At 40.8% G+C, this 15,798-nt stretch overlaps 2 annotated features.

Annotated features, from left to right (window-relative positions):
• Positions 484-1,363: an enhancer, noted in NCBI's record as "OCT4-NANOG hESC enhancer chr11:121276805-121277684 (GRCh37/hg19 assembly coordinates)". NCBI's record gives its function as "activates a minimal SCP1, AML or CMV promoter by ChIP-STARR-seq in naive and primed H9 embryonic stem cells {active_cell/tissue: H9 hESC(naive and primed)}" and the evidence as "EXISTENCE:reporter gene assay evidence [ECO:0000049][PMID:30033119]".
• Positions 1,651-2,152: an enhancer, noted in NCBI's record as "NANOG hESC enhancer chr11:121277972-121278473 (GRCh37/hg19 assembly coordinates)". NCBI's record gives its function as "activates a minimal SCP1, AML or CMV promoter by ChIP-STARR-seq in primed H9 embryonic stem cells {active_cell/tissue: H9 hESC(primed)}" and the evidence as "EXISTENCE:reporter gene assay evidence [ECO:0000049][PMID:30033119]".

The following is a 15,798-nucleotide window of genomic DNA, read 5'->3' on the forward strand; positions in this document are numbered from 1 at the left end:
GACACATAACCCTGCTGACACCTTGATTTCAGCCCAGTGATACTGATTTCAAACATCCAATATCCAGAACAGGGAAAGAACAATTTTCTGTTGTTTTTAGCCTCCCAATTTGTGTTGTAGCAGCTTCAGGAGACGAATACAAAAAGAAAACAAAAGGGAAGCTCAGATTTTAAAACAGACAAAAAAATAATACAAAAGGGGAACAAAAAGAGAAATGAGAACAATTTTTTTTTTTTTTTTAAAAAAGAAACACAAATGGAAATACTAGCCAGCATCATAGGACTGGACTGGATGCTTGTTGAAGGACTGGAAGCTTCCCCTTAAGATTGGAATCAAAGCATGGATGTCTACTCTTACATTTCTATTATTACTAGCTACTGAAATAAGACAAGGAAAAGAACAAAATGGCTTACAGATTAGAAAGGAAGCTGTAAAAGGACTTTATTCATAGACAACATGAGAGTGTATTTAGAGAATGATATCTCAAAATTCCACCCAAAAAACCCAAACTTACTAGAAATTAATCAATTTAGCAAAGTGTAGGGGAGAAAAAAAAAAAGCTTCCCCTTTGCCCTTGGAAGGTTTGCTGAAAAGTCAAGTCACAAAAGGCATAGAAATAGGAGAAAAGGCATACAAATAAATGTATTTGACCATAGTTTCATGTGACACAGGAGCCTTCAGAATGAACCTAATCCCTCAGTGGGGTGCAAAAGCCTATATACCATCTTGAGGTTACAGAAAGAATTTAGGCTCAGAGTGCAGCCCAAAACAGGTTATGGTAGTAAATCAGGTTATGGTGGCAAGACAGGTCCTGGGAGAGAAAGAAGAGGAGACCTGGCCAGCAAAGGTGGTCTTGTTATGTAGATGAAACTTCACAGGTAGCAATCTTCAGAGAGAATAGACGGTCAATGCTTCTTTTCAGGCCTTTACAGGTATCAGACTCTTAGTCTTTCCTAGATTCAGGCAAGGGAAGTTCCGGCTGCATCAATGCAGATTCTCTGCAGATGCAAATCTCCCCACAAAAGACAGCTTTGCAGGGCCACTTCTGTTTGCTGGCCCTCTGACACCCAGCTCAAAATATGTCAAAGAAATATATTTGGAGATAAAATATTTTTATTTCCTCCAGTTCCTACTTTGAAACTTAAAAAAACTTTACATATTAAGAGCCAACGCTGATAGCTTTGGAGAGTTTTGGGTTAGAGGTTGTTAGATAGAGATAGGCAAAAGAGTGAAAAGACAAATTGGGATAAGCAGAAAAGAGCAAATTTAAATATAACGTCCCATTTCTTCTTTAGTCGGTCTCTCAGTCCTGAGAATAGATCAGTTCAGTTAAACAGCTGTGTCCCATTCCAGGAGGTGGCATTGCAGATGGGCTAGGCCTCTATATCTGATCCAGGCAAGCAGATCTTTAATAAGAGATATTTGTATGGAAACAGAAGAAAAACAAAGGGCCATGTCTGTAGTAGCTTGTACCATAGTTTTTCTGGTCTCTGAAGCATCTTCAGATTGCTATGACAATCAGAAAGATTTTTTTTTTTGAATTGTAGTTTGAATTAGGTATTCAAGTGAACTTTCTGAGTACTGCATACCTCATCAGGCATGAAGTCTGTTTATATATAAGTTGATGTTATTTCTCTCAAAGTTTATTAAAGTTGTCTAGCTTCGATTTTAAGGACTTTAAGAAAAACACAGTTTTAATTTATAAATTGAAAATAATATCCTATGCCCCCCAACCAACTGAACAGACCCCCTCTTGGCCGGGGGCGGATTCCAAAGAAACCTATAAAACTAAATTTCAGGCCATGATGGGAAGGGAGGTCAGACATGCCTCATTATGCCCCTTCCCTTTTGGAGTTTAGGCAAGACTGACCAGCATTAACATTAAAATAGAGATCATAAGATTGACAGAATAGACTCTTTGTGGCAAGAAGATAACCAGATTCCAACCTGACTCAAACATAGCATCACATGACAGCCGATCCTGAAGGAAATCAAAATATTTTACCCCAAAATATATTTCTCTGACATATTTTTAAATGGCCCCGCAAAGCCAGCTTTTGTGGGGGAAATTTACATCTGTAGAGAATCTCTGTTAATACAGTCAGGACTTTCCTGGACCTAGGAAAGATTAACTAACTTTCTGACACCTTTTAAGTTCTGAAAAGAGATATTTGTCATCTATTCCCTCTAAAGATTTTTATATGGAGACTTCATCTATATAACAAAACCTTGGCCTCCACAACCCCCCTTATCTGAACTCAAGCATGTCTTTCAACTGACTTCGAATCTTTAGACAAAGCTGAACTCTTTCAACAAATTGCCAATCAGAAAATCTTTGAATCCACCTGTGACCTGTAAGCACTTGCTTTGAGATGTCCCACCTTACCGGGACATCTCCAATGTACACATTATATGCATTGACTTATGTTTTTGCCTGTAACTTCTGTCTCCCTAAAATGTATAAAACAAAACTATAACCTGACAGCCTTGGGCACACTTTCTCAGAATTTCTTGAGACTGTTCTCTGGGCTGTGGTCACTCATATTGGGTCAGGATAAGCCTCTTTAAATATTTTATAAAGTTTTTTTGTTGTTGTTGTTTGTCAACGCATTTCTAGTAATTCCAAGTCAGAAAAAAATTAAATAAAAATTTGACAACATTAGTTTGGAGACTTGTAGCCAGGAAAGAATTCAGGATCCAGTACAAGTTGCAGGCAAATGATAAAATCTCAAAAACAATGAACAAGGCTAGAATCTAATAACAGATGTTCTACAGTTTTCCTTTGAAACATAATTTTCTCTCTCCGGTTCCCTAAATTTCTTTTTTTTTTTTTTTTGAGACAGAGTTTCACTCCTGTTGCCCAGGCTGGAGTGCAATGGTGCGATCTCAGCTAACTGCAACCTCCACCTCCCGGGTTAAAATGATTCTCCTGCCTCAGCCTCCTTTGTAGCTGGGATTACAGGCATGTGCCACCACGCCCGGCTAATTTTTGTATTTTTAGTAGTGATGGGGTTTCGCCATGTTAACCAGACTGGTCTCGAACTCCTGACCTCAGGTGATCCGCCCGCCTTGGCCTCCCAAAGTGCTGGGATTACAGGCGTGAGCCATCACACCTGGCCCAGTCCCGCAAATTTCTACCAAAGACAAATCATAGCAGGACAAATTTATTTGTAAAATAAGTTTTTATCTTATTATACTTGGCCTGGTTATTTGCATAAAGTGCAGCAAGAATAGTGATTGACCATACAGGCTTTTCTCAAATTGGCTTTGTGGAAACATTTTCATAAGAAATCTCAGATTAGACTTTTAAAAGCCTTGAGGCTATAAAACCAAGGCAAGGATTTGTCATTAATCATTGACTGTCTGCAATGCCTGTATGAATTGGGTAAATTCTTCTCTTCTTGAGGTCCCAAAATAACTTGAGGTTCCTGGGCACGTCAGAAAGTAACACTCGTCACTTACCACAGGTCAGGAACCTTGTGAAGAAACTGTGTACCTTGTAAAGGTACCTTTTCAGTCAAGGTACACAGGTCAGGAAACTTGCAAAGAAACTGGGTTTTTTATTAGCTCTATAAAGTCAACTTCAATTCCTCAAAGCAATCTGGTCATATCTGAAAATATTCCATTCCAGTCAAATCCTCCAAAAGAATACAGATTCATATTGAATGTACGCAAATAGCTGTCTTGTCCTAAATTAAGAATAATCAAAAAAGTTTCCAAATTCTGGAGATATCAGGTAGAAAGAAAGATAAATGCTTCAAATTTTGCTCACGAAGTATACTTTACCCAATTTCTTGTAAGCTATAAATAGCTCAAAAGAAAAGGGTTTTTTTTGTTTTTTTTTGTTTTTTTTTTTGTTTTTTTTTTGTTTTTTTTTGACTCTGGAAATCAAAACATAAAAAGAATTAGCTATGTATCAAACAAAAAGTTTTTTAGTCCTTTCTTAGTTCAGCCCCATGTAATTAGCTCTTGTTCTGCTTGATGTTGGGTTAGCAATCCTCATGAGCACATCAGCTTTTTAATTAGAATCCTGGAAGGTTTTTTTCCCTAGTCCAATGGTATGATATCCAAAGTTAGAAAACTGTATTCAGGAGACCTTCCCTGAATTTCTTTCAGAGAAAGCAAATTTTGGACCGTAGTTCATTATAAACTGCTTTTTTTAAAAGAAGAATCAAAGTAAAACAATAATTGTCTATGAGTGACAAAAGTTTTAGCCATAAATACAGACACAATTGACAAGAACATTTCGTTGTTTTATGGCATGCAACAATTGAACATAATAATTCCAATTATTATTGATAATGTATACCAAGACACATCAGAATTTTAGGAAATCATACAATTTGGAGCACATATTAGTAACATATTTATACAAACATAACCCTCCAAAAGTTAAACACCATTTCTTATTTAATAATGCTTTCCATATGATTTTAACATACCAAATAAGCGTAATATGTCTCTCTTGGATGTCTAGGGGCCCTAACATTCAAAAAGTTAGTTTGAGGTCAAAAAGAATGAATTTCAGATCTGAAATTTTGATTTTGGAAAGTTTGTCAGATATTAAAGGTTTAAAACACTTGCTCAAAATAGGATCACAGCTCACTGTGAAATAATAGTGATTCATGTAGCCAAAGTGATGATTCAAAGATTTCAAAAAGCAAAAACCTTTATTCTTTGATGGGAAGGAATACAGCTTTCAAAACAATCATAAGACCTAATAGAAACCATTAGGCAAACAAAATCTCTCTCTCCCTCTCTTCCCTCTACCCCACCTTTTTTTTTTTTCAGTTTACGCAAAAGTACACCAAAAAATATTTTACTATCCCTTAATACTACACAAAAATCTTGTTCAAAAGAGAAAACCTAATTCTACCTTTGTATCAGTGTATTATTAATGTTACAGCTAATTTTAATAAAACTTTATAGGCTGGGCACAGTGGCTTATGCCTGTAATCCCAGGACTTTGGGATGTGAGGCAAGAGGATTGCTTGAGCCCAGGAGTTTGAGGCAAACCTGGGAAAAACTCCCCCTTTGCCCTCAGAAGTTTCACTGAAAAATCAACTCACAAAAGGCTAGTATTACAGTAGGAAAAAAAGGCATACAGATGTATTTGATCACAGTTTTATATGACATAGGAGCCTTCAGAATGAAGACCCAATCCTCCAATGGGGTGCAGAAGCTTCTATACCATCTTGAGGTTAGAGAGAATGCGGCTCAGAGCATGACCCAAAGCAGGTTATGATGGTAAATATGGTGATGGTGGCCAGGCACGGTGACTCACGTCTGTAATACCAGCAGTTTGGGAGGCGGAAGTGGGTGGATCACCTGAGGTCAGGAGTTCGAGACCAGCCTGGCCAACATGGCAAAAACTCATCTCTACTAAAAATACAAAAATTAGCCGGGCATGGTGGTGCGTGCCTGTAATCCCAGCTACTAGGGGAACTGAGGCAGGAGGATCGTTTGAACCTCGGAGGCAGAGGTTGCAGTGAGCCAAGATCGTGCCACCGCACTCCAGCTTGGGCAACAGAGCAAGACTCTGTCTCAAAAAAAAAAAAAAAAAAAAAAGGTGATGGTGGCAAGAGAAGTCCTGGGAAGGAAAGAAGAAGAGGCCTGGCCACCAAAGGTTGTCTTGTATGGAGATGAAACCTCACAGGTAGCAGTCTTCAGAGAGAATAGATGGTAATGCTTCTTTTCAGACCTTTAAAGATGTCAGTCTCTCAGTGAATCTTTCCTAGATCTGGGCAAAGGAAGGCCTGGCTGCATCAATGCAGATTCTCTGCAGATGCAAATCTCCCTGAAAATTTCAAATCTGAAATTTTGATTTTGGAAAGTTTGTCAGATACTAAAGGTTTAAAACACTTGCTCAAAATAGGATCACAGCTCACTGTGAAATAATAGTGATTCATGTAGCCAAAGTGATGATTCAAAGATTTCAAAAAGCAAAAACCTTTATTCTTTGATGGGAAGGAATAAGACAGCTTTACAGGGCCACTTCTGTTTGCTGGCCCTCTGACAGCCATCTCAAAATATGTCAAAGAAATATTTGGAGGTAAAATATTTTTATTTCTTTCAAAGCTTATAGGATAGAATTTTAACATAAAAATCAATTACATTTCTACGTATTAATAATGAAAAATTGAAAATGATTTTTAAAGTAATATATATATAAAACAGTGTAAAAAAATCCATGGGTATGAATTTAATGAATGATGAGCAAGACCTCCACACTGAGAAATTAAGAAAGGCCTCACTAAATGGAGAGACAGACAAGAAGAGTTGATAATGCTCCACATGGAGGACGCTGTAGGGAAATGGCATTGCTGTACATTGTTCTTGGTTACTTTTTCTAAATAAATGTCCTAATGATTACATAATTATATGATAATAATAATAGCTACCACTTTTTAGTGCTGGATGTGACTGACAAATTAACTCCCTATAAGGGCAGCTCTGAACTTGGCACTTCTCTGCTCAAAAACTCCTTTTTATTCATAGGCTCAAGGACTAACTATTATGGCATTCACAAGCCTCCACTATTGGCTCCAAACTCCCTTGCCATATTCACCTCCTACATTTTCCCTCATATACACCTTATACTCTAGCCACACTGGATTCCTTGCCATTTCCCAGTTTAAGATTTTGACCTTAACGCCTTGGCTCATGATATTCCCTGCCTTTAGCCAACTCTTCCCCTTCCCTAACCAGTCATCTCTGGCTGGGGCCTGGCTCCCAGTACCTTACAGAACTTAGCACACTGTGGGGCACTTAACATATTTCCAGTGTGGTAAATAGTTGCGAAATGAATAAGAGAAGTGTGGTTCATTGACCCCAATCCCAGAGGAAAGGGTAAATGGATGTGTGTGATTCTGAATAAAGACAAATGGGGATAATGGGGATAAAATGTCTGTTTAAAAAGTGCAGGCAGCTTGGCGTGGTGGCCCACGCCTGTAATCCCAGCATTTTGGGAGGCTGAGGCAGGTGGATCACTTGAAGTCAGGAGTTTGAGACCAGTCTGACCAACAGGGTGAAACCCTCTCTTTAGTAAAACTACAAAAATTAGCCAGGCGTGGTGGTGTGCACCTGTAATCCCAGCTACTTGGGAGTCTGAGGCAGGAGAATCACTTGAAACTGGGAGGCAGAGTTTGCAGTGAGCCGAGATCTCACCACTGTACTCCAGCCTAGGTGACAGAGTGAGACCCTATCTCAAAAAAGAAAAAAAAAGTGCAGGCAAATCTCCTTATTTGGCAGGCCTCTTTGAAACAGATTGTGATAATGAGTCAAAGCCACAATCATCCCAGAATCCCCCCCAGTTCTGGAGGATTCAGAGATATTTAGTAATTCTGCATTTATGTGTTTTTTTCTATTACTTACTCATAGAATCACAACTTTTTTTAATATATAGATGATCAGCAAAGCTTTTAATTGATTTATTGATTGAAGTATCTTCTATTATAGCCAAAAGAGAGTTTTGAAATCATCTAGACAAGGAGCCTCAAATGAGTTGTTTTAAACTGGTCCAGTTGATACAGGGTGTTGTCATGAGACAGGGTAGGGATGGAGCTTGGCTTCAGCTCACCCCTACTACGGCATTCTTTCTTGCATTCCACCGTACTAGTCAGTGTTCTCCACAGGGGCAGAACCAATAGGATACATGTGTATATATATAAGGCAGAGTTTATTAGGGAGAATTGGCTCACACAATTACAATCATGAAAACCCATGATAGGTCGTTTGTGAGCTGGGGAAGAGAGAAGCTGGTAGTGGCTCAGTCTGAGTCTGAAAGCCTCAAAAACCAGGAAGCCAACAATGCAGCCTTCAGTCTGTGGCCAAAGGCCAAGAGACCCCGGAAAGCCACGGGCGCAAGTCCCAGAGTCCAAAGGCTGAAGAACCTGGAGTCTGATGTCCAAGGGCAGGAGGAGCGGAAGGTGGCATCCAGCATGGGAGAAAGAAGGAAGCCAGAAGATTCAGCAAGCAAAGTTATCCCACCTTCCTTTTTTTTCTTTAACTTTTTCATTTTTATTTTTATTGTTTTTTTGAGACAGGGTCTTGCTCTGTCACCCAGGCTGGAGTGCAGTGGCACGATCTCAGTGCAGTGGCATGATCCCAGCTCACTGCAACCTCCACTTCCCACGTTCAAGTGATCCTCCTGCCTCAGCCTCCCAAGTAGCTGGGACTACAGGTGTGCACCACCATGCCCGGCTAATTTTTGTATTTTTAGTAGAGATGGGGTTTCACCATGTTGGCTAGGCTGGTCTCAAACTCCTGACCTCACGCCTGTAATTCCAGCACTTTGGGAGGCCGAGGTGGGCAGATCAGGAGGTCAGGAGTTTGAGACCAGCCTGGCCAATATGGTGAACCCACCTCTACTGAAAACACAAAAATTAGCCATGGATGGTGGCACACTCCTGTAGTCCCAGCTATTCAAGAGGGTGAGGCAGGAGAATTGCTTGAACCTGGGAGGCAGAGGTTGCAGTGAGCCGAGATCGTTCCACTGCACTCCAGCCTGGGTGACAGAGTGAGACTCCATCTCAAGGCAAAATAATAATAATAATAATAATAATAATAATAATAATAATAATAATAATAATAATAATCCCTAACAGCTTTTTTTCAGAGAGCCAGCTGGAGAATCCTTTTGCCTCTGCTATCTCCCTTTGGCTGTCTCTCTTGTGCTCTAGCACAAGCCCCAAAATAGAATCCTTGTCCAGGAAACCTGCTTGGCCTTATGTTAATTTTCATTACATGGGGAGCCACAGCCTCTTGGCCTGTAACATATTCAGGATGGCTTCATAAAGGAACAACTAGTGCAGTTGCCTGGGGCCCCACACTTACAAGGACCCATGCTTGGTTCAATGTTCTACTATTGCAGTCTTGAAATTCTTATTATTTTGAACAAGGGGCCCTGCAAATTATATAATCAGTTCTGTGTACATCTCCTCATGTTCAGCCTTCCTTCCCTCCATGTACCTCTCCTGCAGTAAGACAATTCCAATGTCTGGAGGCAGCTGGAAAGCATTGCATGTGGAACACTGGAGGTTGCATCTTCTCACCCGTCCATCTTTGCGGATTACTTCTCAATTTCTACTAGGAAAGCCTGGAGACTTCTGAGATAGTCCAAGTTCCCCATTTTACACATAAGAATACCAAGATCCAGAGATGCAAGTTCCTCCAGCTACCACTTAAATTATTTAGGTATCCTTTTCCAGGTATCTTACATTGCTATTATACCAAATAAAAATTATAACAGGCAACACTGAAAGAGAATGAGGTCAGAGAAATTAATGATCATGGCAGGATATGGGATCTGGACCTGTTTCTATATAAGACAGAGGCTGGTTCGAACCGTAGGCAGAATTCCTGAGCTCTCTCACCAGCAACATTTTCACCTTCATCTCCATCTCAACATCGCAGACTTTGAAGAACTAAAAGGATCTTTGAGGTTACATTCCTAGCCCAGGAGTCCTTAAAAAGATAACATCTAAGTCCTGGGATTCTTAATTTTTGAGTGGAGGCCTGTTTCATTTTTGGGACACCTTGGTTATTAGAAAGTATATTCTCTTTATAAAGAACAGAAGTCAGCCTCTCCATAAATTCCAACTACAGCAATCAATGGCCCTACAGGATGACAAACAATAACTCTCTCCACCTAAAAGCTTTTCGGATAATTGCAACTAGCTTTATATCTACCACCCCTTCCTCTAGGCTGTTTTGTTCTTTTTCCTAGTTGAACACCCAGTTCTCTACAATGTCCCACAGTGATGGAGTTTCTAAACACCTTCCTATTCTTATCTCTCATCTGTGGTGATCCTCAGAGCCACTAAAAATCATTAGGTTATAAAATGAAAAGAAAACAAAGCAAAAGTATCATGACAGTTTAAAAATGTGCTAAGTAAAAAAATCAGTAATTATAATCCCAGCACTTTGAGAGGCTGAGGCAGGAGGATTGCTTGAGCCCAGGAGTTTGAGACTAGCCTGGGAAATATGGGGAGAATAAGTGAGTACCACCTTAAAAATTTCGTAATTTTAAAAAAATTAGCTGGATGTGATGGCACACACCTGTGGTCCTAGCTACTCAGGAGTCTGAGGCAAGAGGATAGCTTGAGCCCGGGAGGTCAAGGCTGCAGTGAACTGAGATCGCACCACTGCACTCCAGCCTGGGCAACAGAGAAAGACCCTGACTCAAAAAAAATAGTCAGTAATAAAGTTCCAGGACTGGAAAGACTGTGACCAGGATTGTAGGGAAAGGTAAGTATGTAAGTCAAGGCTTTCTGTTGCAAGTGATAAAACCCATTTGGGACTTTCTTAAACAAATAACAGAATATTTTCATCCCAGAGCAAAAAGCCCTCTCCCCCTTCAGTTCCAGCTGGAAAAGGGCTCTGATTAGTCAAATTGGGTCACTGCCAATTCCTGGGTGGGGAAGTCATAGTTGGGTAAGAAGAGGAAAGAATCACCCAGATCACACGGACAGAGGAGGGAGCAGAGTATCACCAGGAGAGAGGTGAAGGTGTGGACATAGGCAAACAAACATAAAGGTGCCCTGCAGAGAGTGAGCCACAAAGTCAAAGACAAACACTAAATATTTTATTCAGTTATTGCACATTTATTTCTTTAGATGGGGTCTTGCTATGTTGCCCAAGCTGGTCTCAAACTCCTTGCCTCAAGCAATCCTCCCACTTCAGCTTCCCAAAGTGCTGGGATTATAGGCATGAGCCACTGTGCCTGGCCTTCTAGGGATTATTATTTAAAAAAAAAAAAAAAAAAGGAAGGTGTAGAGAGCACTCTAATATTCTAAGAATAGAGTTGTTAAGACAGCAGCAATGCTAGAAAAAAATTTTAATTGGCTAATGAGTAATATATATACTTTTTTTTTCTTTTTTGAGATGGAGTCTTGGTCTGTTGCCCAGGATGGAGTGCCAAGGCATGATCTTGGCTCACTGCAACCTCCGCCTCCTGGGTTCAAGCAATTCTCATGCCTCCCAAGTAGCTGGAATTACAGGCGTGTGCCACTACACCTGGCTAATTTTTGTATTTTTAGTAGAGACAGGGTTTCACCATATCGGCCAGGCTGGTCTCGAACTCCTGACCTCAGGTGATCCACCCGCCTTGGCCTCCCAAAGTTCTGGGATTACAGGGATGAGCCACCACGCCTGGCCTGATAGTTTTTTTTAAGGGAGATAAACAAGTAATGAAGAAACAAGAAAATGTTGAGTGCATTGATTTTTTAATTGATATCTAGTAAGAATGCAATTTAATATTTTGTGATGGGAAATAATTATAATTATTTAAATACATTTTAAAATGTTATAAAATCTGTGCTAATAGTGACTTGATATCTATTTGAAAAAGTGCTTTGAAAATTAAAACAGAATCAACTTATGATTACATGACAGTGGAAAACTATTGAGGCATTGAACACCTGGATGAAGGGTTCTCCTGTGCTGGGGGCTGTGGTCCTACTGCCTGGGCGGCCATTCTAAGGAAGAGGCACACAAGAGCTCATGCTGTGGGTGGACACGCTGGCTACATTTCTCATACACTGTTTTCTTGAGCACTGGGGAAACCCAGAGGAGGACACTTCATTTGTCCAATTAAAGATGGGATTTCATTGAGTGCTGCCTCAGAGCCCACAGACCACAGGCCCAGATGCATTCACAGCTGCCCAGAGCCAACAAGGTGGCTAGAATGTCAGCAAGAGGGGACACCGGGTGGTTCTAGTTTCCTTGTGGTTGGAGTCTGTTGAGTTAACAGCCCAAATCTGACCACACAGGCTTGGAACAGTGTGCAAGGGAGCAACCGAGAGGAAGTTAGCCAATGTTGGATCCGGGCCAGTCAACTTCTAAGAAAACGTGCCAGCAAGGGGCAGGGCCCTTGCCGAGAAGAGCTGGGCTCCTCTGGCTGTTTCTCATGGAGGCATAATTCAGTGGTGAAACCAATGCTCCCACAGGCCCCACACAAATGCTTCCTGCCCCTCCAAGCCTACAGAGCAATTGCTTTGCCTGAGGCCTCTCAAGTTGAAGGAAGATCAATAAGGCTGTCTGATAGATAATTGTGACTTGGAGCTCTTTGGATAGCTTGTCATGTTCTCTCGGAGGGCTTTGGCTTTGTTTATACAAAATGGGAAAAGGCTGTTAAACATTGAAACTTTTGATATTTTACTTTCCAAGAGGAACCACTATGGGCATTTAAAAACTCAGTCAGCAAATATTTATCAAGCAGCTTCTATCTGCAAAATACTGTGCTAAACTGTTGCAGATTCACAAGCGTGCTGTAATTAAGTTGTACACATGAGATTAACTATTTACAAACAATACACCTATGTTTATATATCAAATGAGTATTGTCATCTTTAGAACAATTATTTCAGGAGATAATACTCTTTTTTTTTTTTTTTTTTCTGAGATGGAGTCTTACTCTATTGCCCAGGCTGGAGTGCAGTGGTGCAATTTCAGCTCACTGCAACCCCTCCTCCCGGGTTCAAGTGATTCTCCTAGCTGGGATTACAGGCACACACCACCACGCCTGGTTAATTTTCGTATTTTTAGTAGAGACGGAATTTCACCCTGTTGGTCAAGCTTGTCTCGAACTCCTGACCTTGTGATTCTCCCACCTCGGCTTCCCAAAGTGCTGGGATTACAGGCGTGAGCCACCACACCCGGCCTTCAGGAGATAATATTCTTAATCCAATGGTGTTATCTGCGTAGAAAGTATTTTTAGAACATCTTTTCTTTGGGCATCACCTCAGAGCCTATGGTTCATTCTTTTGAATATGTTCAATGTTGCGAAGCCACTGAGAGTAGAGGCAAGATAAAATTGAGGAATATATTTTCTGATTTTAAAAAAATAAGTCCACACAAAAACATATGTGAATATTCAGAGTAGTTTTATTCATAATAACCCTGAACTGGAAACAACTCCAATGTCCATGCCTATGCAAAATGTGATAATATCCATACAATGGAATATTATTCAGCCCTAAAAAGAAATGAGGTACTCATACATGCTACTGAGGTAGATGGACTTGTTTTCCAATCAGACCCTTCTGATCAAAACAGGATGTAGCAGAGGAACTGGCGGAAACCAGCAGATGGTGACGAAAGCAACCTCTAGTTGCCCTCACTGCTCCTTAGCATAAAGACACTCCCACTAGTGCCAAGACAGTTTACAAATGCCATGGTAACGAGTGGGAAGTTGCCTTACATGGTTCCAGGAACTTCCCCGCCCCTTTTCGAGAAAATTCTGAATAATCCCATAATTAGCACTTAGTTAAGAGTAGGCAAAAATATAGCTGGCCAGCAATCTGTGACAGCTGTGGCAGCTGTTGCTCCTGCTTGGGACTGCAGCTGCTGCTGCTGCTCTAGGCTGCTCTGTTTATGGGACAGCACTGCTCTGCCTATGGAGTGGCCACCTTGCTGTACACTGCTGCTCTGGGCCACTCTGTCTACGGGTTAGCCCTGCTCTGCCTACGGGTTAGCCCTGCTCTGCCTATGGGTTAGCCCTGCTCTATGGAGCAGCCATTGTGATGTACACTGTTGCTCTAATAAACTTGCTTTCTTTCACTGTCAGCTGATTCTTGAATTCTTTTCTGAGTGAAACCAAGAACCCACCAAGCTAAGCTCCAGTTTTGGGGTGCATCTGCATCACTACAACATGGATGAACCTTGAAAACATTATGCTAAGCAAAATAAGCCAGTCGCAAAAGATCATATATGATAGGATTCCATTTATACGAGGTATCCAGAAAAGGCAAATCTATGCAGACAGAAAGTAGACTAGTGGTTGCCCGGGGCTAGGGATGGGAATAGGCGATGGAGGTGTTCTAAAATTGGATTGTGGTGAGGGTTGCATACTTGTGACTTTACTAAAAATCATCTAATCGTACACTTAAAGTGAGTGCATTTTATTATATGTAAATTATACCTCAATAAAGCTTTTTTGAAAAATGAAATGTGGCTAGACATGGCTCACTCGTGTAATTCCAGCATTTTGGGAGGCCAAGGCGGGCAGATCACTTGAGGTCAGGAGTTTGAGATCAACTTGGCCAACATAGTGAAACCCAGTCTCTACTAAAAATACAAAAATTAGCCAGGCATGGTGGCTCATGCCTGTAATCCCAGCTACTTGGGAGAATGAGGCAGGTGAATCGCTTGAACCCAGGAGGCGGAGGTTGCAGTGAGCCCACATCGCGCCACTGCACTCCAGCCTGGGCAATAAAGCAAGACTCTATCTCAAAAAAAAAAAGGAATATGATGATTATAAAGTATAAAAAATTGATTTTGGGGTGACATATGAACCAATTCTAAAGGCAAATGGAAAGGGTTAGAAAATTCTTCCCTCTCAGAGTTCTAAAAATCAGTTGAGCAATAGCAGCATCCTGAGAATGAATGTGCATCGCCTCCCAGGGTGACTGACAGCCAAGTCTCATTTACACACAGTCTGATGGGCACTACTCCAGTAGCGCAGTAACTATTCCAGAGCTATTGCCTTTCCCGAAGCTTACAGTCCACTGGGGAGATAAGAAATATAAAGATATTGACATCTGTCGATAAACAAAGTAAAATAAGTCAGCTCTGGTCAAATTGGCTTTTAAAACACTTTTTGCTCCTTTTACAGTGTGAGTTGATGGCACAGTAAGAGATAGTGGGGCTTTCCTTTTCATAGTCAGTTTGCAAAATCCCTACATAAAGGATTTTAAAAGATCAGTTATGAGGAGAGAAAATCCCCAGATGAGGGACATACTGTTTTTCCTCCCTCCCAAATTCCTCACTCCCTGAAATACCGCTGTGGTAATGGGAACCTTCCACTTGAGTCCTTTCGCCCCAGGTCCAAGAGAAATAACACCATGATTGATATTGCATTTTCAAAGTCACTGATACATAAAAATAACTTCCTAGCTATTGTCTAAATGAATGACTGCATTTTAGATTTCAGCTGACACAGGTCTGAAATCCCTCTCTTTGGTTTCAGTCCCCATTTCTCTGTAGAGCTGACGTTGGCAGCTTGAGGTTTTTCTTTAGTGGTGCACCAGTGACATCTCTCTCTTGCTACCTCTGTTTCTTGTCTTGGATTTTCTTCTCTAAAATCCAGAATGATTTTCCTCTTGCACTCTGCAGGATAAACCCATGCAATGTGGCTATGACATCAAACTCCATGCCAGGATGTGGAAGTGGGATTAGGAACATACAGGTGAAGCTTTGTATGATTTTGAAAGGTTTAGCACAGCAGGAAACTGGCCTTGTTACTCAGATAAATGCTAGTGACCTATCAAATGCAGGATTAAGTTTTTAAAATTTGCTCCCAAAGGCAATATGGAAAAATGGAGGGACTCAGGCTGTGGTTATAGTTCTCCTGAGGAATGGACAGATGTGTGCAGATATGTGCTGCAAAACCAGATTGCCTTTCCATGCCATTGAGAGGCCTCTTAAGGAATGTCTGATGAATATTAAGAGAGAACTCAATAAATGTGCATTGTGAAAAAGAGTTACTTAACACATTATAGCCATCTGAAGCCTAATATTGAATTAAAACGCCAAGTTACCAGTCACTAAAGAGGGGAGTCCAGAGTACAACAGTTGGAAAACTAAGCCAAAGACTTAGGAAGGTGCTACTGAATGTTCTCACTGTTATTGTGATCAGTGGCTGAGCACCTGGCAATTCCAGGGTAGGCCAGTAGGTCTGCAAAGAGGGGAGCCTTGGTGCTTAGTTTCTAAAACTTACCTGGGAAGCAATTGTGAATTAATCAGTCATTATAATCCATGAGCATACAATATTTCATGGCATTGTGGTGAACTGTTTTG

Source organism: Homo sapiens, chromosome 11 (genome assembly GCF_000001405.40).
Source record: "Homo sapiens chromosome 11, GRCh38.p14 Primary Assembly".
NCBI lineage: Eukaryota > Metazoa > Chordata > Mammalia > Primates > Hominidae > Homo > Homo sapiens.